Consider the following 27,235-nt stretch of genomic DNA (forward strand, 5'->3'; position numbering starts at 1 on the left):
CACCAGCCCTCAGGTGACTCGGTAGGGGGAGAGGTCACCTCACCTCATGAGCTGTCTCAGGGAGAGGGAGGGTGGGGCTGGGGTTCAGGCCAGGGGTGGTTTTATTAGCCTCTCCACCCTGAGGTGTCCCTGGACCCTGTCCTGGAGCCACTGCCTGTGAAGCCAAAGTGCCACTTGGCTTGCTGGGTGGATGTTAATCCCACAACATAGTCCTCAGAGCCCTGCCTGTGGGCTGGGGGCCACCAAGGTCATGCTGGGACTATGCCAGGGTTGAAGGCTGGGCCTGCCACTCAAGGGCCTCGGGGAACACAGGTCCAGGCTGCCTCTTGTGGCTGCAAGGACATGTGGGAAGTCCTGCTCCTAAAGCTCCTCCAGCCCAGCACCCTCCAATTGACCTTTTTATGATCCTCCTTCTTTAGCTCAGCCCTTAACTTCTCCAGGAAAGCTGTCCTGATGCTGCTCTCATCTTTTGGGCAGCGTGGAAGCCTTGGCCAGGCACCAGCAGAGATGGGACATTTCCTGCATGTCAGAGACCCTGCAGAGACTGGATCCTACCTTTCTCTGTTATGCCCTCCGTCCCTGCCGCTCGCCTGCCCTGCGGGAGGGGCCATCGTGGCGGTGGGGTCCACGTCCAGCCCTGCCTCTCCTCAGGCTTATTCTGCTCTGCAGCCTCCTCCAGGACAGGTGTTTCTTTACTGCCCTTCCTGTGCTCAGTCTTATTTAATGCTCATCTCAGCTCTCATCTGAGGGGAGAACTCAGGATTCCCGAGTTAAGGGATTTCCCACAGTCAGGAAGTGGGTTCTGACTCCGCCCAAAGGCCCTGCCCTCTACCACCTCGCATCACAGACCTCTGGGCCCTGGGACAGCAAAAGAGGTTTTCCAGGAGCTGAGTCCCTTGGGCCCCACCGCACAGCCTTGCCCCCCCTCCTCACCTGCAGGACATGGCGGGCAGCTGTGGGCCTGGCTTCGGTCCTCCCAGGGACTGGACACGCCTGGAGGACAGGGCCTAGGGAGGTGGCTAGTGCCCTGGGGGCAGTAATGACCTGGGGAGCAGGTCCTCCCCTGGTGGGTCTCTCAGCCTGGAAAAAGGTGACCTCAGTCATCCCAAGGCCTCGCCCGTCCAGTGTGTAGGTGTCCTGCTGTGCTTTCTGAGCAGGCCGAGTACCTGTGCCGTAGCTGTGCTCCCCGTCTTGCCGAGGTGTGGCCGCCAGGGAGCCCTCGAAGTGTCCCCACAGCCCACCAAGGGGTGTCGGGGTCTGCGCCCCTCCTGGGCAGTGGAAACCTGGAGGAGGGAAGCACCAGGCCGGCCTGCTCTCTGGAGAGGCCTGGCTCCCGCCTTCCCATGCACGAGGCTCCGGCTGTACCCGTGACTGCTGTGGTGGGATCGGGCTCTGGAGGTGCCCCAGTAAGCTCATAACGTAGGACCCTCTCAAATCCACATCTTCAAATCTGTGTCTCCCACATGGCCGAGTGAAGGTGGCAGTGTGGGCAGCAGCATAGTGGAGGACGGTGCCCGCCTCTCGTCTGTCTGGACCCAAACTTCGCCCCTCACTAAACCCATGGATAGCCTGCTGTGCATGGGGACCCCAAGCGCAGAGGCTCTTGAGGAACCTTCAGCCCATTTCTCAGAGGCTGGTCCAAGTGTTGTCCCAGGGACAGATGGGCAGTGCTCTCTGGAGAGGTGGCAGGCCTCCCTGGGCCAAGCAGAAAGAACCCTCCCCTCACCCTCCAGGACACTTCCCCCATCCCCTTCGCCTCCCGCAACACCCGGGCCTCAAGCTGGGAGGATGTGAGCAGCTTGGGAGCAGCTGGATGCTGCCGTCTGAGACCCCGCCCCACCATGTTCAGTATCCGCCTCTGCCCAGTCTCCAGCCTGCCTCCTCCTCATTCACACAAGCCTGGCCACACCGCCCAGGCACACCTGCCCTGGGCTCTCTCCAGCGTGCCTCTCCCCCAGGCACTGAGGCTCCCAGGGTGGCAGGTCCCAGCCGTGCTCTGCTTCATGCTCAGAGGGATGTAGGAGTCCTTACCTGGTGCATACGGGCCCCCAGGGGCAGCCTGGCCTGTGGTGGCACAGAAGAGCCCAGGTGGGCGAGGCAGGCACCAGCTTATGTCCTGTGCCCCTCTCTCTGCATTCCAGGTGCCAGCCGGGCAGAGCCACTGCCTGGGGTCCTTGGTGCCAGCAGGGCAGAAATGACCCGGGGGACAGAGGTCACCAAAGGGGAGTCCCTTCTAGAGGAAGAGGGGTCTGTTGAGGTTTACAAGCTGAGAGCAAGTGGGTTCTCTCCACTGGCTTCCCTCCTCTTCCTCCCTGAGCCCCTCTCTAGGGAAGCCTGCCCAGCTCAGCCCAGCCACACCTGTTCTGCACCGCCAGGAACCCTCTGGGAAACACTCAGGAATTTAACTTCAGAAAAAGAAAGTAAATTTTGATTGTTAAGTTGTTAAATAACCTAACCAATTCCAACTCTCTGCTAATATCACCAACACACAGCTTTAATTGTGATGAGGTGCAACTATCATCTATCAATTAATCAATCTATATTTATCATTTCTCAAATAATCAATCAATTATCTATCATCTATCAATCATCTATGCATCAAACGATGTACTTACAACAATTATTAATGCTTACCTAGTATCCCTCTAGGTTGATAAGCTATATCTCTGTCTAGATTTTTTTTTATTATTGGGCCTTTATGGTGTTTTGTTGTTGCTTTGAACGTTTTTTCACAAATGACTTTTTTCCCGTTTCAGATTCTTTCCCACATTGGAATTACTGGATCAATTCCAATAATTCCAAGCTGCCCTAGGCTCTCGTTAGGTATTGCAAGACTGCAGCAGCCCCTGGGCCCAGGCTGCAGCGGAGAGCATGAGAGCATGGACTCTCCCACACGGACGTCTTATGAGGCCTTCAGCACTTGCTTTACTATCAGTAGTTAGTAGATGCGTCGGGTACTGAAGTGGCATTGCTTCATGTGCCCTTAATGTCAGCCCACTGAGCCTTTTCCTGGCTGAAGACATATTTGTATTTGGTGCCTTTTGCAGTGGGTACTGGATGCTAGCCTCTTGGGCCCTTCCTCACTGGTTACATGTTTTCACGGGCCATGTATAATGGCTGCAGTTCTACCCGCTCTGCAGTGATTTCATTCTATCTTCTCAGGGCTACTCTGCCCCTCACGGGGCAGGCAGGTGCTGGGCCTTTGCCCTGTGGTGTCCCTGACCCCCGCCCTGGGAAGGCCCGATAGGGCCTGCACTCACCAGGGACGAGGTGTTGGAGCCAGGCCCGCAGTGATGCCCAGGGTGGCACAGGCCCTGGGGCTCGGCCAGGCCAGCTTTGCCACAGAATGCCCCCAGGTGGCATGGCTGGCAGTATTCCACACGGGCGGCCCCAGGGGCCTTTCGGAAAGTGCCCTGGGCAGATAGAGGGATGTCACCAGGGTCAAGGTTCTGGAAGCCACAGTGGGGCCAGGGAGGAAGCAGAGCAGGGCCCTCCACCCTCTCTCCTTGGGCACACAGAACCAGGGAGAAGACAATCTGTCCTCACCAAGGACAGAGCCCTCAGGACCCATCCACTAGTGTGTGGGATTGAGGTTTCCATAGATTGAAGTCTGGCTGCAAAACAGAGGGGAGGCTGCCCCCACGGGGAGTACCACCTGCACCTAACTCCCCAGCTCCCTCCCCCCTCCCTCCTCCTCCCCACCTCCTGCTCCCTGGGCCTGGGTTACTCCATCCCTCGTGACCTTCTGGTCTGGCACCGTAGGGAAACTAGCCGTGGGAATGTGAGCAGCCCAGCCCTTATCTGAGTGGTGGGGGAGGCAGGGGCTGGGTATGGCCATGTCATGCTGAAGGGACGTTGTCCCTCTCAACCACCAGTATGGGGCCAATGGCTCCAGAGCCTTCCCATGCCGAACCAGAAACACCAGCTGGGGATCCCAGGGGAGAGGCTCACCATGGGGCAGGGGATGGATAGCAGGCCCTGGGCTGGGCAGTAGTGCCCAGGGCGACACGTAATGGCCCAGGGCCAAGCAGCTTTGTCTGGTTGCAGAGTTTTCCTCCTGAGCACTCCTGGCACCAGAGATGACCTGGACCCTGGAAAGGGGTGTGGACAATAAGGTCGAGGTTCCATCCACACCTGGAATGCATAGGTGGGCCTGGTGCACGACAGGTACTGAGGAAAGGTATGTGGGGCTGCTGCTGGCCAGGCCTGGCTCAGTGCGTACCTCCCCTATGAGGAAGGCGGATGCCACAGAACCAGGGAGCTCTCCAAGCACATGGCTGCAGGATTGGCAATGCCCGGAGGAGGAGGGCCCAGGCTGGAGGCTCCTTCTGTCTTCTCAGGGCTACTGATCCTCCGGGAGGCCTCTGCATGAGTCAGGAGAGGCCAATGTGGCCCTGCAGGGCTGCACTCATGAGTGGTCTGGGCAGGGCCGTCACGATGGCTGCACAGTGGGCCATACTGTGGGTTCTGGGTCACCCACCCTGCCACCTCCCCATGCCTGCCAGCGCTCTCGAGGTGTCCACATAGAGGCCTGGGCTCACTGGGAAGACTCAGGGCAGAAGGTTGGGGGCTGCCATGCCAGGTGAGTATTGGTGCTGGAGCCCTGCTGGGTTTGCCTCCCAGCTGTGCCATCTGCAGACCCCTCCTCATCTTGAAGGGGAAAGCTATGCTGGGGGTGTGGGTATCCCTGAGCTGACACAGTGAGTGCTGTGTAGATGGTAGAGCTCCAGGTAACTGCAAGGGGGGATGATGGTGCTTCCTGAGAAGGAGGGAAAGATTGTGTCTGAAACACAATTTGCTGTAGATGGTAGAGCTCCAGGTAACTGTAAGGGGCGATGACAGTGCTTCCTGAGAAGGAGGGGAAGATTTTGTGTCCGAAACACAATTTGGGCTCTTTGGGCTGCAGTGACTGGCCACAGTTGCCCTGTGTGGAAAGCTGCGAGATACTGAATAAACTGCACATTCTTTGACTGCACAACTCCCCAGGGCCACCTGTGGCTTCCCTAAGCTTGACATCATTTCTTGGAATAATCACCAAGCTTCACTGAAGAAGCCTGCAAAGATGGCATTAGCAGAGCAGTGAGGGACTCGTGCAATGGCACCCCCTTCCTGACACTTGAGTGCACATGGCAGGCAGTGGGGAGGAGGGTGCCGATAGCTCCTCTGGGTCTGGAAGGCCAATGTCATGCAATGTCCCAGGCTCCTGCTCATTGCTTACCTGGGTGGTGGGGGAAGAGGAGGTAAAATGGAAGTGTGCTGCCTTCATCACCCATAGCTCCCTGTAGAGGGAACTAAATGCAGACACCTACCCCAGTGGGCTCAGGGCAATGACTCTGTTCCCCCATCTCCCTCCCTCTGCTTCTTCCCCTTCCCCTTCCCCAATAGGCGCCAGGCTGGCCCATGGAGCAAGGGCCCAGGCCTGCCCCCTCTGCCCTAGAAGAAGCACCTGGAGGCCTGCCCAGCTCCCAAGCCCACATTGGAGCAAAGGATTCTCCCTGCAGTTGCGTGTTTCCCTTGCCTGAGCGGAGCTCTGGGGAGTCACCATCGGGGCAGGCTGGGGCAGGCACCTCCCAATTTTAGGATCCCCCACTCTTCAGAGCCCTCTGAGGATGGAGTCTGTTCTGGGAACACTTACAGAGAAGCTGCCAGTGCTGCATGGTCGTGGCGTGGTGGTGCCTCTCTCAGGGCAGTGGTGACTGGCAGGGCGAGGCACACAGGCCACAGCCAGCTTGGCTGCTGGACCTTGGCAGTACGTTCCTCTAGAGGGGGTGGAGAGAGCTAAAGGTGGATGCCCACGGCCTTCCTGGGGAAGAGTCCCCACCCATGAAGTCGCCATTTCTCCAAGGCCAGATCCCTCCACTGTCCCCCAGCTTCCCCTCAGAGTGTAAGGGCAGAACTCCCAGCCCGCCTGAGCCTTAGGAGGCCCTGTAGGGGAGGCTGAGGGTGTGGCCTCAGCTGGAGAAGGCAGGGCAGGAGATTTAAAAACCAGGCTAATTGTGCTTCTTTCTAAAGTTGTCTGTGAGATGCACCGGGGCCCCTCTTAGGATCCTGCTACCCCTGACCCTCCCAGCATGGAAATAAAGACAAATCTTGAGTTCCTTCAAGGGAAAGTCCAGCACCTCACTAGCCCTGAGGAGTAAATGAGCAGCCCGATAAGCAAGAAGGTAACTGCAGCTTTGAACAGTGGCCAAGGAAGTCAGAGCCACGAGAGGCTTGGTTTTCTCTGGAAGCTAAAGATGCCATCTTAGCATATGTCCCTGATTGCTTTTCAGAAACCAGGACCCCCAGCAAATGGACCCACTGGCAGGCAGACCTCAGATAAGGGGGGAGTGAGGACTGAACTCTGACTGCCTCAGTGCTTTGTTCTAAATTTCTGCCTGGGGGCTCCTGGCACGCCCGCAGGCCAGACCTTAACATCCCTTTCTGCTGACCCTAAGAGTTTAGACACAGCTTCAATTCCTTAACCAAACGGGGAATCTTTGACTCCACCTATGACGCGGAAGTGCCTGCTTCAAGACAGACTGCCCTTTTAGGCCAATGTGTAACCTTCATGTCTTGATTTACAATTTTGCCTGTATAAGGGTAAATTTCTCTCCTGAAATTTACCCCTGCCTCTATAAACCCTTGCTTGTAAGCTGCCAGGGAGGTTGGCTCATTTTTTTTTTTTTTTTTTTTTGAGACGGAGTTTCACTTTTGTTGCCCAGGCTTAGATTTTCCACATTCTCTCAAGTTTTATAAATATCTATTTATGCTTTGTGATTTTGTGATTTTGGCTTTTTAAAATTGAAATCTGCATTTGATCTGAAATTTGTTTTGATCAATGTCATTTCCACTTTTTACATGAAGAATGTGTATTGCTTGTTTTTAGTAAGACAAACCCTAAGTTTTCTTTTTGACCAGAGGAATAAAAGGCACATTTTAATAAAACAGTAAAATCCACAGATAATCCCACAGCTTGGGCCAAATGATCTCTGCTGAGATCTCTGCAGCAATTAGCTTTAGGAGGGGTTTGGCCTTTAGAGTGGGCAGCTCTGAAACAGCTTCTTTTTTCAGGATGGTGGGCTGGTACGCGGCTGCTTCAGCAGGGATACCTTCACATCCCTCCTTGGACTCTGCTCATCTTTTAAATAAATTTTTTATAATTTTAGAGATGAGTTCTTGCTCTGTAGCCCAGGCTGGGGTACCATGGCATGATCATAGCTCACTGCATCCTGGAACTTTTGGGCTCAAGCGATCTTCCCGTCTCAGCTTCCTGAGTAGCTGGGACTACAGGCTACCATGCCTGGCTAATTCTTATATTTTTTTAGAGACGGGGTTTCACCATGTTGCCCAGGCTGGTCTCAAACTCCTGGCCCCAAGTAATCTTCCTGCCTCAGCACACACTCCTCGCTCATGGTCAATCCAGGCCAGTTACTCCAGTCAGTACAGATACAAGCCATCATGCCCGGCACTCTGCCCATCTTTTGAGGCTGAATCGAGTCACCACAAGCTGATGGCTTCTCCACTGACTGTAACCCAGAGTGATTCTCTCTTGTTCAACTTCCTGGCTGTAGGGGTGCCCCTGACCTGGGGCACCTATAGCCCTGGGTCCAGCTCATCCTGTTCCTGTGTGTCCTGTTTCAACAAGGTGGCCAGGTCCTGAGGGCAGGCTGGGCCCTCCTCTCCCTTGGTACCAGTGTCCAGTGCTGGGCTCCAGCAGGCACACAATGAACGTGGCGATTTGGCCTCAATAACAACCACACATGCGGCCTCCTTACCGTTGGCAGAGCTCCGGCTCAGGGACCCCACTGGGGCGGAAGGCCCCGGGGGGTAGGGCAGACAGTCCTCGAGCTGGCCGTTGCCTGCCTGGGAGCTGCAGGTGCCTGCTGGGCAGGGGAACTGTGTCCTCCACTTCGCCCCTGTTTCAGAGAGAAGAGGGGTTCAGAGGAAGAAAGAGGGGTCGGACCTGTGTCATCACTGGCACACCAGCTCCTCACCTGCTGCCTGGAGACAGTTCCCAGGGGAGGCCACTGGGGATGGGGCAGGGGGAGGGGGTGTCACTCTCCAGGACACAGTCTTTAGGAAGCTGTGCTTTGGGCTGAGACACCTGGGAACCCCCATTTAGGAGGCTCTGAGGCTTATCAATCCCTTCCAGCCCCCAGCCTGCTGGTGGCTTCTGTCCCCACAGCCTCCCCGAGTTTCCTGCTCCTCCCAGCCCTCCTCTCAGGAAGGTGGTCCTGAAATGGAAGCTTCCCCTCTCCCGTTGCACACCAGGCTTCTCCTGCTGCATCTGCTCCAGAGGAGGTGCACAGGCCAGCCCATGGCACCCTCTCCTGGCACTTGCCTGCAACCTTGCCAGGGCAGAGTCTGGCCCCACTCACCTCATGGGCAGTAATGCCCGGCCCTGCATGTCCCTGAGGGCACCTGAGCTCCACTGACACAGAACCAGCCCCTGGGGCAGGGCATACACTCCTCGCTCATGGTCAATCCAGTCTGGTTACTCCAGATGCCGGGAGGACACTGGAACTGGGTTGGCTTTTTGGTGCCGGGAGGGCAATAATGGCCAGCTGAGCAGGGGATGGGGGGCCAGTCTGGGCCCCCGGTTCCTGCAAACACAGTACTGAACTAGACCTGAAGGGCTGCTGCCCCTCTCCAGCCACAACCCCTGGCAGGCGTCAGAGACACGGGCTGGGGCCTTGCCTCGGGGCAGGGGGTATCTGGATTAACAACCTCCAAGGCCACCGTACCCGAGGCAGCAGGGTCGGGACTCAGGCTGCTTTTAATTGCCCAATCCTTTGGGCTCCCCATGGAGGGGTGGGCAATGCTCTTTGTGAGGAACAAAGGGGCTATGGGTCAGGGTCTATTGTCCTGGTCTCCCTGTCCCGGGGTGGAACTGGTTTTTCACCCAAAGGCAGGGTCCTGAGGTGGTGAGGCCACTGTCCCCCTCCTCACTTACCCCCAGGACAGGCTAGTCCCTCGGGGCAGACCTCACACTGCGATGGGTGGGAGAGGTCATTGCGGTTGCTAAAGGTCCCAGGAGGGCAGGCATGGGAGGGAGCGTGGGGACTGGAGGAGCCTGAAGGGCACACGTACCTACAGCAGCAGGGGAGTTGGCACCTGGTGCCCACCACGCAGAGCCCGGCATCTTGGAGAGTCATGGCCAGATCCCGCCGTGCCCCTGGCCTGCTCTGTGAGTCTGCATGGTAACCTGGCCTCTCTGAGCTACTTTCTCCATGGACAAAGCCAGGAAGACAGCTCCCTAGACGCCTCCTGAGCATGGATGGACCTGAGACAGTGCTGGGCCTCGGTGCTCGGGGGCAAGTCCTGGAGCCCTGGGCTGGCTGAGACAGAGCTTTGATCTGAAGGCGCAGCCCTCTCCGAACCCTGAGAGGGTCAGAGGCTGGGAGAAGTCTGGCCTTGACCTGGGACTGATTCTCTAAGGGTGTTAGGGGGATGGCTCTGGCCCCCATCGGGACACTCATCATTGAGAAATGGCGGGCACTTACCCCGGTGAGCACGCTGCGTCGGGGTGTGTCAGCCCAGCCTGGGTACAGGCCCTGCCTGCTGGGCAAGGGGTGCAGTCTGTGGCTTCATCCTGGCCTAAGCGGGGGCCAAATGTACCCGGCTGGCATGGGATGGGGCGGGTGGCTCTGTTGGGGCAGAAGTGTCCCACAGGGCACCGAAGACACAGGCTGAGAACTGGGGAGACAGCAGTTTTCTCTCTCAAGGGAAGCAGTGACAAGAAAAGCAACCAAAGCTCTACAGGCCTTGGCCACACCTGACCCTCCCATGGGCCTGGGAGTGCAGGAGCTGCCACCATCCCTGGTTACCAGGAAAGGGGTATCACTGCCTCTAGTGTAAAGATGAGGCTCAGAGAGGTGAAGCACCTTGCTGATATCACACAGCCTGTGCATAGCAGATCTGGGCCATCCCTGGCCTGGCATTTTCTAGGCCCAGTCTTTTGTCCGCTCCCAAGAAAGGCCTCCTATGTACCTACTGACACTCTCACTTTTTACTTTAAAACTTCTCATTTCTTTTTCTCCTGTCCTCAGCACTGGTGATTCCCAGTCCCGTCAACCCTCTGTCTTTACTGGCAGCTCTGGGTTGAACAATCCAGGCTGCCTTGGAACTTTCTATACAGGTCCTGATTTCCCCAGCTGAACCCAGAGAACATGGAGTTCCCAGAGCTGGAGCCTGATGAGGCCTGGCTGCACCCCGGGTGTGGCTTTCCTGGGGCTCACACGTTGACTGGTACCTGGACTCGCTGCCCGGGCTGCTGTCAGTCCCTTAACATCAGCTTCTGTTAGCGTTTGATAAGCACCAATCAGCAAGGTCAGAGTCAAGGCCACTCTTCCTGTCTTGCAAGCAGAAGGCAGAATCCAGAACTGACCTGCTGAGCAGAAGCTGGTGTCCTGGTGGGGCACCTCTCTCCTGTCCTTGAAGTTTCCGGCATGGCGTGGCACAAAGGCAGCACCATATGGGTGGAAGTAGCCTGTGAGGGGGGCCTCATGGGGTGGGTCCCACCAGGGCTTGGGGTCCTCATCCCCTGGGGAGTCTGCTGGCTGTGGAGGGTGAGCTGGAAGCCTGGCACCTGGAGTGGCTTCTGGGGGGTCTGCACCATGCAGGGTGAGGCTGGGTCCCACCCCGGGCCCATGTGCCATCACTGCCAGGGAGCAGGGTAGAGCAGCACAGGCTCTACTCTCTGCTTCTGCACAGTGCTGCTTCCTCTGTGGGGAGCGCTCCCAGCCTGGAAGAAGCCTCCTGGGCTCCTCCCTGAGCAGACAGACTCTCAGGGGTGCCTCATCTGAGCCTCAAGGGCCCTGTCTCCACCTGATTCAATACTTCCCAGGTCGCAGCTTTAGGGAAGCTCTGGCGTCTGCCTCTCCCCTGGATGGGGAGCACCTGGACCCTCAGCGCTGCCCCAGGGCCTGGCACATGAGACAGAAGTGGGGGTGCACAGAGGGCCGGAAGGATGCTGGGACCCCTGTCAGCTCTGCTTCTCTTCCCCTTCTGCCCCTTCAGCCCCTCCTTGTCACTGCAGTGTAACCTGTGGTCCCCTGCAAGACCACCAGACACTTAGCTGAGGCCCCCACTTCTTATTGACAGGCAAAGCAGCACCAGGGCCTGTTCTTTCCCATGGAGCAGCTCTGTAGCCCATGCCCCCTCCTCTCCAGGGGCCCCCTCCCAGCCCTGGCACCTGGCCTGTCCCCAACACACACCAGAGTGGGTGGGCAAAGGGAAAGCCGAGGGCCTCAAGGTGGGGGCGGTAATGCCTTGCAGAAGTGGAGGTGAGTTGATGAGAGAACCTTGATCACATGGTGTCTGAGCCGCTTCCCTCCTGCCCTCCTGTGCTGGGCTCCCCTCCGTGCCTTCGCCGCTGCTGCCCTGTGGCCAGAGCACTGGGAATGAATGACACATTTCATTTCCACCCTGAACAAAACTGAGGAGGTAAATCTTTTGCCTTTGTGGGGGTGTTGGGGGGGAACCTACACAGTCTTAAAGTTAACAATAATGAAAATAACGAATGTTTTGAGATGCCCTTCCCCTCCCCCACCCTTCCTAATCCTCAGGATCTGGAAGGATTTTCTCCATGGCTCACATCCTCAGAGCTAGTGATTTCCAGCCACATCGTTCCTCTGTCTTGGCTAAAACTCTAAGTTGAATAATCCAGGCTGCCTTTAAACTTGTACGGGTCCTGATTTTCCTAGCTGAGCCCAGAGAACATGGAATTCCTAGGGCTGGGGCCTGCCAGACCCTGGCTGCACCCCTGAGTGTGACTTTCCTGGCATTCAGCAGCACTGCTGATGGTCAGCAGGGGTGCCTGGAAGCCCAGCTCCTGGGCTCCTCTCTTCCAGCCACCCCTCTGAGCCTGGGGAGCCCTGGTTATTAGAACCCGGCAGTCTCAGGTGTCCGCATTTTCTCCATAACATCGCCTCCCACAGGCTTCAGTGTCCCCCATGGTCCTTGTCACTGCACACCCAGCTCTGCACAGCAATGCTGTCGTCTGTGCACCTCTGGGTGGGCTGGGATGCCCAAAATCCTCCCTGAGAAGGTGCTTACTTCACATCCACGGTGGCTGGTGAGGCGACCACTCATCTTTCCTGCCTGTCATCTGTGGGTTGGGAATGAAGACTGACCCAACCTGGCCTCTCCCCAGCTTGCTGCTGTCTGGGTTACCTGCACCCACTTCTAAGAACACAGGCAACGGTGGGGCCGTGGAACACTCAGGAGCTGGAGAGGTGGGAAGAACAGGGGCTGCATGTGTTGGGGGCTGCAGGGTCGGCCAAGGGGCTCCTTACCTATGAGAAATGACAAAGCTCTTGTCTCCGAGGTGAGGTGCTCCATGCCTGTTATTTTCTTTAGACGCAGAGGTCCAGCCCCAACTGGGAGCTCTGCATTTAAATTGGTAGCTACTAACCAGTCTGGCTCTAACTGCAGTAGCTACCATTTACTGAGTGTTGACTTTGAGCTTTCTATGTAGGACTTCACCTAATAGAAGCATTCAGGCACTGTTATGATCAATTCCACTTTAGAGATAAGGAAAGGGAGGCCTGAGGAGAGTTAAATACCTTCCAAACTCACACAGTTTGCCATAAGGAAAGTCTTGATAAATTTCAAGAGATTGAAATATTAGAGAGTATGTTTTCTGATCATAATAGAGTTCAGTTAGAAATCAAAGACACCCAGAAAAGCCCCAAACACTTAGAAATTAAACAACACACACCAAAACAATCCATTAGACAAAAAATCACAGGGAAATTAGAAGCATTTTAACTCAAAGGGTAATAATAGAAACACACCATCATAAAGTGTGTGGGATATAACTAAAGCAGTGCATAGATTCAGATTTACAGGATTCAATGTCTAATCAGAAAACAAAGAAGATGTAAAATCAGCTATCTACTTTCACCTTGGGAAGCTGAAAAGAGGAGAGCAAATGTAAATCAGGATTAATAAAACAGAAAAATCAATAAGGACAATCAATAAAACCAAAAGCTAGTTCTTTGAAAAGATAAATAACATTGATAAAGCCCTAACTAGACTAATAAAGAGAAAAAGAGAAAAAAATGTACCAATATCAGGTATGAAAAAGAGCTCTCACTGCAGATGACACACTGAAAGGGCAGTAAACATGTGGCCTGAACCACTCTCTGACAATCAACCTTATACCTAACAGAAAATGAACAGATTCCTTGAAAGACACAAATTCCCAAACTGTTGCAAGAAGAAATAGAAAATCTGAATAGCCTTAAACGTGTCAAAGACATTTAATTCGTAAAGATCTTTCCACCAAGAAATCTCTAAGCCCTATGGCTTTACTAAGCTCTATACAATACTCAAGAGAGAACTCATACCAGACAGACATGAACTCCTCCAGAAAAAGAGAAGAGCAGGGACTACTTTGCAAGTAATTTCCTGGGAAAATTAGTTGAGCCAGTGTTGCTTTGATACCAAAGAGACTAGAAAAAACTACAGAACAATGTCTCTCATACACATAAGATTAAAAGAAACTTACAAAAATGTTAGCAAATCAAATTCAATGATATGTAAAAATGATAACATCATAACCACATGAAGTCCAGGAATGCAAGATTGGTTTAACATCCAAAAAACAATGATACTCACCATCTTATCAGAGCAAAGGAGAGAAAATCCATATGCTTACCCCTATAGGTTCAGGAAAACACAGGACAAAATTAAATATCTATCCCTGATAAAACTCAGCAAGAAATAGAAGAGAATGTCCTCAACCTGATTAAAGGCACCCGTAAACTACAGCTAACAGCAACGTTGTGATTAGAGACTGAATGCTTTTTCCCTAAGATCAGGAAGAAGCCAAGGATGTTCATTTCTATTCAAAACAGTAGTGGAGTCCCTAGACAGTATAATAAGGCAAGGAAAAGTAACAAAATGTGAATGGATTGAAAAAGTAGAAGTTGGTCAGGCGTGGTGGCTCACGCCTGTAATCCCAAGACTTTGGGAGGCTGAGGTGGGCAAATCACCTGAGGTCAGGAGTTCGGGACCAGCCTGACTACATGGAGAAGCCCCATCTCTACTAAAAATACAAAATTAGCCAAACATGGTGGCAAATGCCTGTAATCCCAGCTACTCAGGAAGCTGAGGCAGGAGAATCGCTTGAACTTGGGAAGCAGAGGTTGCGGTGCGGTGAGCTGGGATTGCACCATTGCACTCTAGCCTGGGCGACAAGAGTGAAACTCCGTCTCAAAAAAAAAAAAAAAAAAAAAAAGGGAAAAGTAGAATTTAAATCATCTTTATTCACAGATAACATGATTACCGGCAGAGAAGACCCTTAAAAATCTACACAAAAACTACCATAACAAATAAATGAAGTAAGCAAGGTTGAGGGATACAAGGTCAATACACACAAATCACTACCAGCAATGAACAACTGGAAATGGAAATAAAAAATACAGTTCCACTTACAACATCATCCAGAAACATGAACTACTTGGGGATAAATTTAACAGGACCTGTACACTGAGAACTGCAACAGTCTGCCAAGATTACACCCTAGCCAGGAGCAGAACAGGACTCCAGCCATCCTCCAATGCCCCGTTCCCCAACACTCTGCATACTTCTTTCTTCTGCATCATCTCATTTCATTTGTGCCACTTCCTGTGTTGATAGTTCTTTGTGTGTTTGGGCCCAGGGCTAGCTGGGCTCTACCCCTCAGAGGCCACCTGGGCTCCTGGGGTATGGACAGGCTAGTCCAAACACAGGAGACCCAAGGACCCTCCCAGCTCACTCCAGGGTCTGGTGCCTCCCGAATGTCATTGGGGAAGCCCAGTCACACCTACCTGAGGGGCAGGGCTGGCAGCTGGGGCTTCTGCCTGTGAAGTAGTGCAGAGAGCACAAAATGCAGCTGGAGCACTGTGGGCCTGGCTCCTGTTCAGGTGGGCACTGCTGAGGGACAACAGGGCCCGGGGTGAGAAGGCAGCGGGATGGTGACTGATACCCAAACCTGCACATAGCTGAGTCAGGGCCTCAGCTTAGGTGTTCACTCTGCCGAGACTCTTTGTGGATCCCCCAAGCTCTCTGTCCCTCCAACTTCCTCTGAAAAAGAAAATTCCCTGCACATGGAAGTGAGCAGGAATTAGTCCACGTGGTCTGTGGAGCTTTGGGGCTAAGGAAAGGCTCTCACCTTCTCCTCCAACTCTCTGTGGCTCTGCAGTCCCAACAGTTGCAGCTGTTCTAGGACACCGCAGGGGCATAGCCAGCTCCCAGGGGGCCTGCCTCGTCCTCCTCTGCACCTGTACTGCACACACGGGGCACCTGGCAACACATGGCATGTGTGGGAATGGCTGGGTCACGAGGCGGCTGCCACGAGTGTGCATATCACTGTGCACCCCACATCTCCATGGCTTCTCTCCTGAGTGTTGTGTGGGCATGGTCGCTCTGAGCCTCTTCACACTTCCCTGTGCATCTTCCCATTCCATCCCCACAGCAGCCCTGGAGGTGGGTTAAGCTCATTTCCAGGTTAGGCAAGTCCCGCGGTACAAGGTCAGAATGGGCAGGAGGTGTTGACTGCTCCCCAAGGACAGCATGGACACCTCATGCATACCTCATAAATGAGGCATGGAGAATGAGGCTTAGTTCTGATCCCCAGAGATTTAGCCTCTTCTGGGGACTTCCCCATAACCTCCTTGCTTCTCTCCCCAGCAAAGAATGGTTGAGACAGAGCTGCCCTCCCACTGGGGTCACCTGGCAGTCCTCGCTGTCTGTGAGTTCTGGGAGCCGACTGCAGGTGCTGTTGGGGCCCAGCCACAAAGCCATCACTCCATTCCAGCAGCTGCAGAGACCAGAGAAAACAAAGTGGCTGAGGAGAAGCCTTGTGTGCCGAGGAGGTGCCCAGCCAGGGCAGCAAAGATGGCATGGAGGCCCGTCACATAAACCGGCATGTACAGTTGCCTGCCCCACTGCCTGGCTGAATGTTTGCCTGTCCCAACTGGATGGGCTGAGATGGAGAAAGAAGGGTGTCCCCAACTGGATGACTCAGAGCTGGTGTCAATGCCGAAAGGCCTGAGGACAGGGTCTTTCCACACAGACCTTGGGGTGTCAGTGCAGGCTCCAGACCAGTGTGATCAATCTGGACTCACCATGGGGGCCCAGGTGGAGGGGTCGGAGCAGTGGGGTCATGGGCAGAGGGATGAACTCCTTCATCTGGTCCAAGGGTGGAGGCCACAGCAGCAGGAACTGCTGATGGTGAGTGGGGAGAGAATGTCCTTTGGAAGCGGCACCTCTGACCGCCAGCCCCACTTCCCAGGTGAGGAGTCGCCCAGGTCACAGGACAGGTGAGAGGCAGAGCCAGGCCACAGCTCACTTCTGGCATAGCACCCACCCTCCATCAAGGTCAAAAGTCTCAGGGGCTATATCCTGGGGTGGGCCCTGGTGGCTCTGGGCACCAGACTCCTGGCACGCATCTCCAGGCAGTGTTCATCCCCCTGGGAGCCCTTTGCACTCAGGTCCATTGTGGAACGAACCTGCCTAGGCAGTGTTGCCCTTCCCTCCCTCCCCTCCTATCTTCCTGGAACACCGGGATGTCTGCTCCTTACTAAAAGCCCAGGGGGCACTGCAGGTTGCTCCCAGCCATGGAGTGCTGGCCTGCCAGGCAGACAACAAGGCACAGGCAGTGGCTGTCAGCTCCACCTTGGGGGAAGGGGATAGCCGTTCCTGCAAAGAGTGAAGAGCCTGTATGAGAGCCCTGCTTCCCGTTCATCTCTGCAGAAGGCCCCTCTGAGCTGGCCATCTCCATTGGTGTGACTTCAGCCCAACACTGCAATTCGTGACAGCTGTAACAGCAAGCCTGCGCTGAGGACACGGGACGTGGTGGCTGGTGCCGAGGTCGGCTGCTCAGGACACAGCTGGCATGAATTGCAGGGAGAGAAAAGCAGAGAGGTCATGTAACACAGGCCACAGGCTGGCTGTGAGGCCCAGGAGCCTGGTAACCTAAGCTGGGAGGAAGCCACAGGGGCTCAGTTATCATCATCACCTCCTAGAGTTTCCAGGAGCTCAGGGCGCCTTGCAATCAACATCATAGAATAGTGGAGCTGACATTTCATCTCCTGGCACAGAAACACTCTCATTTACACCTGGGGAGGCTGAGACCCAAAGCAGTTGAGTGACCTCACAAAGCTACCCTGAAGCCCTGGAGGGAGGGCTGGCCTGGGTGCGGGTGCAGTGCATCCAAGCCCCTGTCTGTGCCCTTGGCAAGTCAGGAAGCTTGGTGTGGGCTCCTGCCTCATCCTCAGCCACTCACGCAAACCAAACCTGTGCTGGGCACGAAGGCAGCTTGTGGCCTCCTTCGGGACTGAAGACCAAGCGAGGGCTGACTGAGCTTTATCTTGAAACTGCTCAGCAAATCCTTCTGGAGGCCTTGAGAGGCTCCAGGTTCCAGTGGGGAAGCCGCAGGCTTTGGGGACAGACAGACAGATCTGGCTGAAATCCCAGCTCTACCACCCACTTGCAGTGTGACCTTGGGCAAGTTAGCAACTTCTCTCAGACTGATTTATCACTTGCAAAATTGGGACACGATACCTACCTCTGAATTATAGGCAATAAGTGGAAAATACTATATATACACACACACACACACACACACACACACACACACACACACACACACATAAATCATATGCATTCCTTTGACAAAGCAAAATCCTAGTACTTGTGTCATGTGAAGCCCAGCCTTGCTCCCTCCCAAGGAAAGGAGACAGACAATTCACAGAGAAAAGCTAACATCCATTAGGGCATCAGGAACCTCTTGAGGCTGCATGGGATTCAGGGGCTCCAGAAAAGGTTCAGAGTGGGTGGAGGGAGGGCGCCATCCCTGAGAGCCCCGGAAGGGAGGAAAGCTGTGTGGGAAATGCCTCCCTTGGGTCAGGGATGAGAGCTGAAGCCTGAAGACGAGGAACAGAGGGTGGGTCAGAGAAACCCAGAAAGGGGAGGCTGGTGAGCATGTGCCCCCTCCCGCCCCATCCTCAGGCACCTCCCCAGCAGCAGTGAAGGCTATGTCTTGGTTTCCTACCTGGACCTGATCCTTACTGGAGGCATGCCCTCAGCCAAGCAATTTACCTCTCTCAGCCTTGCGTCCTCACTGCATAGAGCTGATGAGGCTGACAGAGAAGGCAGGTGTAGGCTCTAGGCCCTGTGCAGGGTGTTACTGTGTTGTCTCGCTGTTGACTCACCTGCAGTGGCGGCAACCAGGAGAGGGACCAGGCCCACCCAGAGCCCAGGCTGTGACATGCTACAGTGGTGGCCAGGAAGGGCCGGGCCAGTGGATGGGCCAGATCCTGGGCCTGTCTGGGCTGGAGCAGGTGACCTGTGCTGCTGTAATCTGACCCAGGATTCTCCCAGGGCCCCAGGGAAATGTGACCTCCCTGAGAGCATCAGAAGAGAGAGGGGAGACGTGTTCTGTGTTCTGCTCTCCTGCCCTGTCCTTCCAGAAGAGCCAGACTGCCAGGCTCCAGTCCCCTGGGAACTTGCCGGCTATGGGGTCTGGGAAATAACTTACTGTTTTGCTGTCTCAATTTCCTTGCCTGGCAAGCAGCGGTGCTGGGACAGCCCACCTGCTAGACTGTGGGAGGGCTAAAGGAGGAGTCCTCTGAGTGGGGCCCGCCTGCACAGGCACACTCAGCATCATTACTCATTCACCTTTCAATGCCCTGGGCATTTATTGGGCACCTGCTGTTTGCCTGCAGAATAGAGGGGCTGTGAGGGGGAGGCAGAGATGCCAAAGTCTGACTCATGTCCCTAAGGGCTTGACTTAAAGGTCCCGGACTAGCCCCCAGGAAGCAATGATGAACACCTGTATCCCGGCCAAGTTACCTGTCAGAACCTCAAAGCCAGGGGCGGTTTCAGGCCCGTTTCTGAAACTCAGACCTGACCTGATACTCAGACCTCTCCCAGATTCCAAGGGAGGGCAGCTAGGGCTGCAGGCGAGCAATTATGTGGCCCCACTGTGGGCCAGGCCCTGTTCTTGGCCTCTTCCCACGTGCAACCCTGCCTAGCGGTGTCCTCTTTGTGAATGCAGGGAGAACAGTGACCTGCATGAGGTGCCCCTGCGAGCCAGTGGTGGAAGCTGGTCTGTGTGGGGTTGAGTTGAGCCCATGCTGACTCAACACACTTCCAGTGGTGGGGTGAAGACTATGGTTCAATGCTCACTGTGGCCCGCTCCCCAGGGACCTTCCGGACTCGAATGTAGAGGCCCCTGCATTTGCCCAGAGATGGCCGCTCTGAGACACAGGGACACTGGTGGCTGGACCTCAGCTGTGGGACTCTCCCTCATCCCATGGCCAACCATAACACTGCCCCTCTGCTCCTCACCCACTAAGGACCATCTCAGAGTTCTGCTTAAGGGTCTACCACGTTGTTTTAATTCTCCACTTGCACTCAGTCCCACCATTATTCATCTTATTTGTTTGTTTACAGATTGTCCGTCTTTCTCCACTGGACTCCAAGCCCAGGAGGGAAGGGACCGGGTTGGTCTGTCCTCTGTGGCCCCAGTGCCTAGCATGGTGCCTGGCATATGGTAGGAACCTAGTGAGTTCTCAGGGAAGGGGTGAGAGATGCCCCAGCACAACAACTCTGTTAGCCGCAGAAGTTTATTTTTCAGGTTGATATAGACTCCTCGTAAACAAAGCAGATCTGAGTGGAGCAGCTCTGTTTGGCTTGAAGGCATGTGGGGGCCCAGGGACCCCTGCTGTGCTGAACTTCCTCCATAAGCAGCCCCTGCAAGTCCCATTCACAGCCCCCAGGGTTCAAAGAACACAGTTTGAGGAACCACTGGTCTGGGACAAGCTCCTCATTTTCCAGTGGATAAATAGAGGCAGAGAGGTAAGGTCATGTGCTCCAGGTCACGCAGTGAGAGACATGCTGAGAAGAGTACAGGGTCCCCTATTCTTGCTGTCACCCACGTGGGTGTTTAATCAGCTGTCAGGCCCAGGACCCTCTTTGGACTGGCCATCCCAACACCTGCCCCGGTCTCCCGGCTCTCAGATGGAGGCCGGAAGTGAGCCCCAGACCTAGCCTCCCCGCTGGAATGCACTCCAAAAGGCATCCTGGTAAAGAACGAAGGGGCAGGAGAAATACCGTCTCTGTGCTGTGCATCCCACAAAGGCCTGGCCTCTGCCTTGCCAATCAGCATGGCCCCATCTGCTGCACTGCATCAAGTAAGTTTACCATCCCAAAAAGAACCCAGGTGTATCTATTTTTATCTACTTGGTAAAAAAATTCCTGGGAATTCATGTAATTGTTCTTAATAATAGATAAGAATTGCCAATTAAAACTCAATTTGTAGTGTGGAAAGGGAGGCTGGGAGCCAAGTCTGCCTGGCTAAGGCAGGTCTGTGGAGCAGGGGGCTCACCAACACAAGGCCTCAAGAGAAGAAGACCCGGCCAAGTTACCTGTCAGAACCTCAAAGCCAAGGGCAGTTTCAGGCCCATTTATAAAACTCAGACCTGACCTGATACTCAGACCTCTCCCAGATTCCAAGGGAGGGCAGCTAGGGCTGCAGGCGGCTGTCTGGCTGCATTTCCTACTTCCCTTTTAATCACTCCTAGGTGCGGCTTCCGTGTTAGCACTGATAAAATCTGGTTCCCACTCCACACATAAAGCAAAAACTGGTGAGCTTATGGCAGATGTCCAGTGGATGGATGGCTTTTTGTTAAGGCAACTGCTCCAACAAATTAAGGATGTCTGAATCTAATGGGCTTGGGAAGCAGGAACTGTTTTTTGTTTTTGTTTTTGTTTTTTTAGCTTTTGATGTGTGAGCCCTGACTTCAGAAGGGGACAGTGAGAATCAGGGAAGGACCCTGGCCATTTCAAGTCATACGGTCATTGTGGTGGTGATGATGTTGGATGATGGTGATGATATTGGTGATGGTGATTGGTGATGATGACATGATGGTGATGATGAAGATAATGGTGATGGTGGTGGTGGTGGTGATGATGGTGTTGATGATCATGTTGCTGATATGATGGTGATGGTGATGAAGGTGATAACAGCAATGATGATAATGGTGATGGTCATGACGATGTTGTAGGACTTTTTCCTTAGTTCAGCTAAGAGCCAGGCTGTTGTCACAAGGTCATGAGAGATTAGGCTTGCAGACACTTTGAAGAGTGAGAAAAAAGGAGCTTATTGGACAAAAAGGGGAAAAATGGGAAACAGAGACCCTCCACGAAGCTGGAGTCCCTGCTGGTGCGCTTCCTGCCTTGCAGATCGAATCCCAGTTTCCACCCAGGAAGAGGAGGGGCCAGGCTCCTCCCCGCTGCAAACAGTGCGAACTTCTGTAACTCCACCCCAGTGTGCAGGCAGGTTGGAGTTTCTCTGCGGACCCCTTCCCACCTGGCTGTCTCAATGACAATCATTTCTTGGGGGCTTGCTTTCTTCCAGACATCATATGAACATTACTTCCTCTGCTCCATCAATCATTCTGTGAAGTGTCTGTTATTATGAACTCCATGTTATGGATGAAGAGATTGCATCATTTCCCTAAATCACTTTTCTATTGTGAGGCCAAGATGTAACCAAATTCAGGCCTGTCTGTCTTTAAAGCCTGTGATTTTAAACACACGGACGAGATTATTATCCTTGGATATACATTTGAATCCCCTTGGAAACTTCTTAAAAATCCAGATATCCAACCCCACGAATCCCCACTAGTTAAGCACGTCAGCGCTGTGCCCCATCACCTTATCCATACCTTCAAGGTCCCTGTTCCTTCTGAACTGGTTCCAGCTTTGGTTTCAGGAATTTGCAGTATCCTGGGGCAGTTGCTGCTGTGCCAAACAGAATGCGAAACTTCTCTTCCCACAGAGAAGAGGTTATCTCAAAAAATAAAAAACAAAACAAAACAAAACATAGCTTTGCAAAATCAGCAGAAATAAATCTGAAATTAGTATACCCATTAAACCCATCTTTCTTCTGTGTCCTTACCGTCACTAACTGCCGCCAGGAAATGAGTTGATTTGAAGATAAACCCACCCTCCAGCTTGATTTCTGCACAGAGCCACAATTCTGGTCAGAAGAGGTGACATTTCACCGATTCAGTATTGTCTCACCCTTTCTGAGGTCTTGCATAGGTTACACACTAGGGTGAATTAGCAGCCCTCATCATGAACGTCTGGAAGCCCTCTTCTTTGGAAAACAATAGTTGTGGTTCTCATCTGCACACTGACAAACCAGATAAACTGTTGTGGTTTATATGAAGCGTGATCTGTATCTGCATTCTAAGTGTTGAAAATTACTCTAAAGAGGGCAAATTTGTGGTCTGGGATGCTTTCAGATTCTGCTATTTTGAATATTCTTTCAAAATTTAAAAACCATTATCCGATTCAGCAAAAAAGTTGCTCATGTTATGGATGGATGAGTAAAGTTGTGACATATGTATGCATTGTTTTTCTTTAAAGGAAAATATCAACTATCATTTATATTGGAACTATTCTTATTTGTCAATTGTACCCATAGGTTGGCTACAGAAACAATAATTTGTCAAGAATTAACAAAAGCGTTCTTTGAGAATCAAATGGCAATATGGAATTTACAACTAAGAGTATTGTCTACTTTATTATTATTTGTAAGTAGTGTGGCATACATTCCTCATATCAAAAATGTTTTACAATGAATGTATGCATATATATGTATATACAATTGTTTTTGGAGAGCTGGTTGTTACACATACACCAGCACATCACTGTGTGAATCTCAAATGAGTTTCAACAGGCCCCTTAATCTTTGAGATCAATAATGGAGGATCAACTGAGCTATCTCAAGGTGCTCTGTGAACAAAAGTGTGGAGGAAGGAAAATGACACTGGTTTGGTAAAGGCACCTAAAATGGAGCAGGAAGGCCATTTCAGCTGAGCCACAGGCACGCCTTAAGGGAAGAATGCATGACGGCCAGAACTCCAGCTGCCTGCCTTCTGCTGAGCTAGGAGGTCCCTGACTACAGACCGCCTTTTTCACTGACAAGCAATACCCTGACTTCCGAGACTGCTCTAGAGATGATCACACCAACTGGAATGGCTGAAAAACAACTTTTGTAATTGAGCCCTCTCCTGATTTGTCATATATTTTTTTGTTTCCAAAGCCTCAGCCTCTCTTTTGTTCTCTGGAACACTTCCCAAGTTAACTTGGAAGTATTTCCCAGGCGATAGCATTTAAATTTGGCTCAAATGAATTATTCATTGTATAAGCCCTGCCTCAGTTTTTTTCCAGGCTACAGTGTGATGCTGGACTGGCACACGTAAGGTGCTGCCGTCAAGACGGTGCCTCATGATGAGGTTTCTCTTCAAATAATCTGATCAATCTTTTATTCTTTAATTCATAGTACCCCTCCCCCAACCTTTTTTCCTTTTTGCCTTTGTTAGATGCCCAGGCACGCCACAGTACCAGGCGTTATCAGTACCAGCTCACATTCCTTTCCTTATTTGGAAAGAGGACTAACTTTCTAGTTCATTACAGACACCCCTTCCCCTTCCTCTCCACTTTCTTTTATGTGCCCATCTTATCTAAAAAAAATTCAAATGTTTAGCCAACTGGGATTAGTTTAGATTGTATGACCGGACCCTGGCCAGTGGGGAAAGGGTACAGGGGCAGGACTTGCATCAGGAATAAAGGCTCTCGTGCCCTTTGTTCAGGTGTGCTGCCATGGCAACTGGCCAAGGAGGCACCCCTCTGCACGGAGGTAAAATTGCTTTGCTAAGAATCCTTTGTTCGAGTGTTCAATTTCTTTAGGATTTTGAGCGTTATTCCTAACAATAGGGTGTGAACCATGTACTCAGGAGAGCAAAAAAATCTGACATATTTTGCTTTATGAAATCACTCTAATTTTGCCATTCAACTCCATCCTGCTGCACTGGTTTAAAAAAAAAAAAAAAAAAAAAAAACCTAACCTCAGACATTTGTGTGTTTCAAGTCATTTTTATGGCCAAGTCCCCATAGTTGGATCAACCTAAAAGGCAAAACACACATAAGAAGACCGTTTATTTGGGCCAAGCTTGAGGACTGCTATACTGGAGTATAGATTCAAGTTGCCCCGAATATGCATTTCAATGAGCAGCAGTTACTAGTGGGTTTTTAAAGGAAAAAAGAGGGACAGGAAGTGGCTGATAAAAGCTGTTTGTTAGGAATTCTCACTGGATTATAGAAATAACACGGATTAGTGATTTGCTATATATTGTGAAGCTATAGCACGTGGTTGCAGTGTCTGGCATGGTATTATTAGGCTAATTTACAACTACTCGTGGTGTGGGGAAAAAGAAAGAGAGATCAGACTGTTACTGTGTCTGTGTAGAAAGAAGTAGACATAAGAGACTCCATTTCGTTCTGTACTAAGAAAAATTCTTCTGCCTTGAGATGCTGTTAATCTGTAACCCTAGCGCCAACCCTGTGCTCGCAGAGGCATGTGCTGTGTTGACTCAAGGTTTAATGGATTTAGGGCTATGCAGGATGTGCTTTGTTAAACAAGTGCTTGAAGGCAGTATGCTTGTTAAAAGTCATCACCACTCACTAATCTCAAGTACCCAGGGACACAGTACACTGAGGAAGGCCGCAGGGACCTCTGCCTAGGAAAGCCAGGTATTGTCCAAGGTTTCTCCCCATGTGATAGCCTGAGATATGGCCTCGTGGGAAGGGAAAGACCTGACCGTCCCCCAGCCCGACACCCGTAAAGGGTCTGTGCTGAGGAGGATTAGTAAAAGAGGAAGGCCTCTTTGCAGTTGAGATAAGAGGAAGGCATCTGTCTCCTGCTCGTCCCTGGGCAATGGAATGTCTCAGTGTAAAACCCGATTGTAAGTTCCATTTACTGAGATAGGAGAAAACCACCTTACGGCTGGAGGTGAGACATGCTGGTGGCAATACTGCTCTTTAATGCACCGAGATGTTTATGTATGTGCACATCAAGGCACAGCACCTTTCTTAACCTTGTTTCTGACACAGAGACCTTTGTTCACATGTTTTCCTGCTGACCATCTCCCCACTATTACCCTATTGTCCTGCCGCATCCCCCTCTCCAAGATGGTAGAGATAATGATCAATAAATACTGAGGGAACTCAGAGACCAGTGCTGGTGCGGGTCCTCCGTATGCTGTGCGCCGGTCCCCTGGGCCCGCTTTTCTTTCTCTATACTTTGTCTCTGTCTCTTATTTCTTTTCTCAGTCTCTTGTTCCACCTGATGAGAAACACCCGCAGGTCCACGTGGAGGAGCTGGTCCCCTTTATCGTGGCAACAGCAAGAAGTTTCAAGGGGTGAACACGTAGCTCAAGGGGAACGCCAGAGGTGATTGCTCTCTCATTTTAATGTCCCTTTTGGCCTGATAATTTTAAAAAACTCACATTCTTCAGATAAAAGTTCTTCTCTCAGTTCTTTTGTTGCACCAAAGCCTCGGGGAGGCCCTTCTTCTCTCTGCAGATACATCAGCCATCTTAAGCACGTGGCCTCTTCTGGTCTGGAGGCTCTAAGGGTGGGTGTCCAGTCTGGACCTGGGATCTTTGTCAGGCTGGGAATGCTGGTGTTACAGGCTGGTCTTTGATTTTAGAGCTCCCAAGATGGCGGCAGGCCGCTCCCAAGATGGCGGCAAGCCTTTTGTTCTCTGACCTGGGGTTCTTGGCCTCACGGATTCCAAGGAATGGAACCTTGGGCCATGCGGTGAGTGTTGTAGCTCTATTAGAAGCCATGGGTCAGGGCAGAGAACCATGGAACCCAGCGAGTAGTATTCAGCTTGATTAGAACGAATCCGGGCACTTAGCTGTGCAGGAACAACAGTGAGCCTCTAGCCCAATCGGGAGCAGCAGTGGGCGCCTCACTGGATCAGAAGCGCAGCAAACACCCTGCCAGATCGACAGGGGTGGAAGTCAACAGTGGGTCTGCAATGGCGACGATCAGCATCGGGAGCGGCAGTGGGCGCCTCACTGGACCAGAAGCGCAGCGAACACCCTGCCAGATCGACAGGGGTGGAAGTCAATGGTGGGTCTGCAATGGGGACGATCCGCAGTGGCCGACGGTGAGCGAAAGCTCAGCTCAAGCAGGAACAAACACAGACCAGAAGAGTGTGCAGTTGCAAGATTTAATAGAGTGAAGACAGAGCTCCCATAGAAGGGGAGAGGACCCAAAGGGGGTTGCCGCCACCGGCCTGAATGCCTGGGTTTATATCCTGATCATTGTCCCTCCCGCTGTGCTCTCAGGCAATAAATGATTTGATTATTTCTTTACCTCCTGCTTTTAGCCTAAGTGGTATTTTAGTGAGCTCTCTTTACTACCTGATTGGTTGGGTGTGAACTGAGTTACAAGCCCCATGTTTAAAGGTGGGTGTAGTCACCTTCCCCAGCTAGGCTTAGGAATTCTTAGTTGGCCTAGGAAATCCAGCTAGTCCTGTCTCTCACTGGTGCTGAGGGGTTGGGCTTCTTTTCAACCCCTGGGGCACACCCAGAAAGACTGGAGGGAGCCATCATGACCACAGTGCTCCTTGCCTCTCTCCCTAGCCTCAGTCCTGGGGCATTTCCCCCTTCTCTCTTGCTCTCTCAAATCTCTGGCTCTCCCTATCCCTCCTGGACATCTGTATTTCTGTGATAGGCCTGAGCTTCCACAATGGGCAGAAATTGCCTCTGGCTTTCTCTTTGCCTTACATTTAGAGGGGGACAATTAGCATGGACATACATGCATCAGGGATATTGTGACTCCCGTTGATATTATCTCAGATCCTTAAAGCCAATTTGGTAAAGCAGCTAGGCAAATTTTAGGGGTAGCTAGCTGTTGCTAGCACTGAATTCCTAATTCTGCTGCTATTGCCAAACCACTGTATGCTTTCTCCCCACATGCCAGTCAAGAGCCCATCCTCTGGTCCTTAGAGGCATTAACTTCCTTTGAAGCCTTGAAGTTAGCATTGTCTACACCCCTGCCCGCCCCACCCCAGGCTTACCTAATTTTGATAAACCTTTTCACCTATATTGTCATGAAGATAATGGGATTACTGCAAGTTTTCTAGGCCAGCCTTTTGCCTCTCAGATATGCCCTGTAGCATATTTCTCATGCCAAGTGGATCCTGTGGCAGCAGCCATGCTCCCATGCCCACGTGCAGTGTCAGCAGCTGCCCCCTAATTGCTAAAGCCACCACGTTTACATTAGGCTCCCCCATTTGCCTCTGTGTTCCCCACACTCTCTCTGCTCTTACAAGTTCCTAAGGCACAGCACCTCTCTACACGAAGACACACTACATATGAATAGTCCTATTAATCAA

At 52.5% G+C, this 27,235-nt stretch overlaps 4 long non-coding RNA genes across 5 annotated transcripts, besides 8 other annotated features; all 4 read right to left on the minus strand.

Moving 5' to 3' along the window:
* Positions 2 to 650: an enhancer, noted in NCBI's record as "H3K4me1 hESC enhancer chr2:110789400-110790048 (GRCh37/hg19 assembly coordinates)". NCBI's record gives its function as "activates a minimal SCP1, AML or CMV promoter by ChIP-STARR-seq in naive H9 embryonic stem cells {active_cell/tissue: H9 hESC(naive)}" and the evidence as "EXISTENCE:reporter gene assay evidence [ECO:0000049][PMID:30033119]".
* Positions 940 to 3,379, minus strand: LOC124906058 (uncharacterized). The gene is made up of 4 exons (XR_007087177.1): positions 3,261 to 3,379; positions 2,032 to 2,233; positions 1,167 to 1,283; positions 940 to 1,080 (listed from the first exon to the last, which is right to left on the minus strand). It is a non-coding gene; the product is annotated as an uncharacterized LOC124906058 (long non-coding RNA).
* Positions 3,683 to 4,520: an enhancer, noted in NCBI's record as "H3K4me1 hESC enhancer chr2:110793081-110793918 (GRCh37/hg19 assembly coordinates)". NCBI's record gives its function as "activates a minimal SCP1, AML or CMV promoter by ChIP-STARR-seq in naive H9 embryonic stem cells {active_cell/tissue: H9 hESC(naive)}" and the evidence as "EXISTENCE:reporter gene assay evidence [ECO:0000049][PMID:30033119]".
* On the minus strand, positions 4,018 to 7,793 carry LOC105373548 (uncharacterized). 2 transcript variants are annotated; one of them, XR_923180.1, is made up of 3 exons: positions 7,758 to 7,793; positions 5,636 to 5,759; positions 4,018 to 4,091 (listed from the first exon to the last, which is right to left on the minus strand). It is a non-coding gene; the product is annotated as an uncharacterized LOC105373548 (long non-coding RNA). The 2 variants fall into 2 exon arrangements; XR_923181.2 differs by lacking the exon at positions 4,018 to 4,091 and adding an exon at positions 5,041 to 5,218.
* A 20-nt stretch (positions 7,794 to 7,813) lies between these two features.
* Positions 7,814 to 9,617, minus strand: LOC105373549 (uncharacterized). The gene is made up of 3 exons (XR_923182.1): positions 9,073 to 9,617; positions 8,361 to 8,585; positions 7,814 to 7,898 (listed from the first exon to the last, which is right to left on the minus strand). It is a non-coding gene; the product is annotated as an uncharacterized LOC105373549 (long non-coding RNA).
* Positions 8,262 to 8,984: an enhancer, noted in NCBI's record as "H3K4me1 hESC enhancer chr2:110797660-110798382 (GRCh37/hg19 assembly coordinates)". NCBI's record gives its function as "activates a minimal SCP1, AML or CMV promoter by ChIP-STARR-seq in primed H9 embryonic stem cells {active_cell/tissue: H9 hESC(primed)}" and the evidence as "EXISTENCE:reporter gene assay evidence [ECO:0000049][PMID:30033119]".
* Positions 10,838 to 11,403: an enhancer, noted in NCBI's record as "H3K4me1 hESC enhancer chr2:110800236-110800801 (GRCh37/hg19 assembly coordinates)". NCBI's record gives its function as "activates a minimal SCP1, AML or CMV promoter by ChIP-STARR-seq in naive H9 embryonic stem cells {active_cell/tissue: H9 hESC(naive)}" and the evidence as "EXISTENCE:reporter gene assay evidence [ECO:0000049][PMID:30033119]".
* Positions 11,034 to 16,744, minus strand: LOC105373986 (uncharacterized). The gene is made up of 6 exons (XR_001739118.2): positions 16,554 to 16,744; positions 16,098 to 16,197; positions 15,703 to 15,790; positions 14,799 to 15,273; positions 12,040 to 12,210; positions 11,034 to 11,378 (listed from the first exon to the last, which is right to left on the minus strand). It is a non-coding gene; the product is annotated as an uncharacterized LOC105373986 (long non-coding RNA).
* Positions 15,214 to 16,060: an enhancer, noted in NCBI's record as "H3K4me1 hESC enhancer chr2:110804612-110805458 (GRCh37/hg19 assembly coordinates)". NCBI's record gives its function as "activates a minimal SCP1, AML or CMV promoter by ChIP-STARR-seq in primed H9 embryonic stem cells {active_cell/tissue: H9 hESC(primed)}" and the evidence as "EXISTENCE:reporter gene assay evidence [ECO:0000049][PMID:30033119]".
* Positions 16,909 to 17,754: an enhancer, noted in NCBI's record as "H3K27ac-H3K4me1 hESC enhancer chr2:110806307-110807152 (GRCh37/hg19 assembly coordinates)". NCBI's record gives its function as "activates a minimal SCP1, AML or CMV promoter by ChIP-STARR-seq in naive and primed H9 embryonic stem cells {active_cell/tissue: H9 hESC(naive and primed)}" and the evidence as "EXISTENCE:reporter gene assay evidence [ECO:0000049][PMID:30033119]".
* Positions 22,416 to 22,954: an enhancer, noted in NCBI's record as "H3K27ac hESC enhancer chr2:110811814-110812352 (GRCh37/hg19 assembly coordinates)". NCBI's record gives its function as "activates a minimal SCP1, AML or CMV promoter by ChIP-STARR-seq in naive H9 embryonic stem cells {active_cell/tissue: H9 hESC(naive)}" and the evidence as "EXISTENCE:reporter gene assay evidence [ECO:0000049][PMID:30033119]".
* Positions 22,955 to 23,493: an enhancer, noted in NCBI's record as "H3K27ac hESC enhancer chr2:110812353-110812891 (GRCh37/hg19 assembly coordinates)". NCBI's record gives its function as "activates a minimal SCP1, AML or CMV promoter by ChIP-STARR-seq in naive H9 embryonic stem cells {active_cell/tissue: H9 hESC(naive)}" and the evidence as "EXISTENCE:reporter gene assay evidence [ECO:0000049][PMID:30033119]".

Source organism: Homo sapiens, chromosome 2, assembly GCF_000001405.40.
Source record: "Homo sapiens chromosome 2, GRCh38.p14 Primary Assembly".
Lineage (NCBI taxonomy): Eukaryota > Metazoa > Chordata > Mammalia > Primates > Hominidae > Homo > Homo sapiens.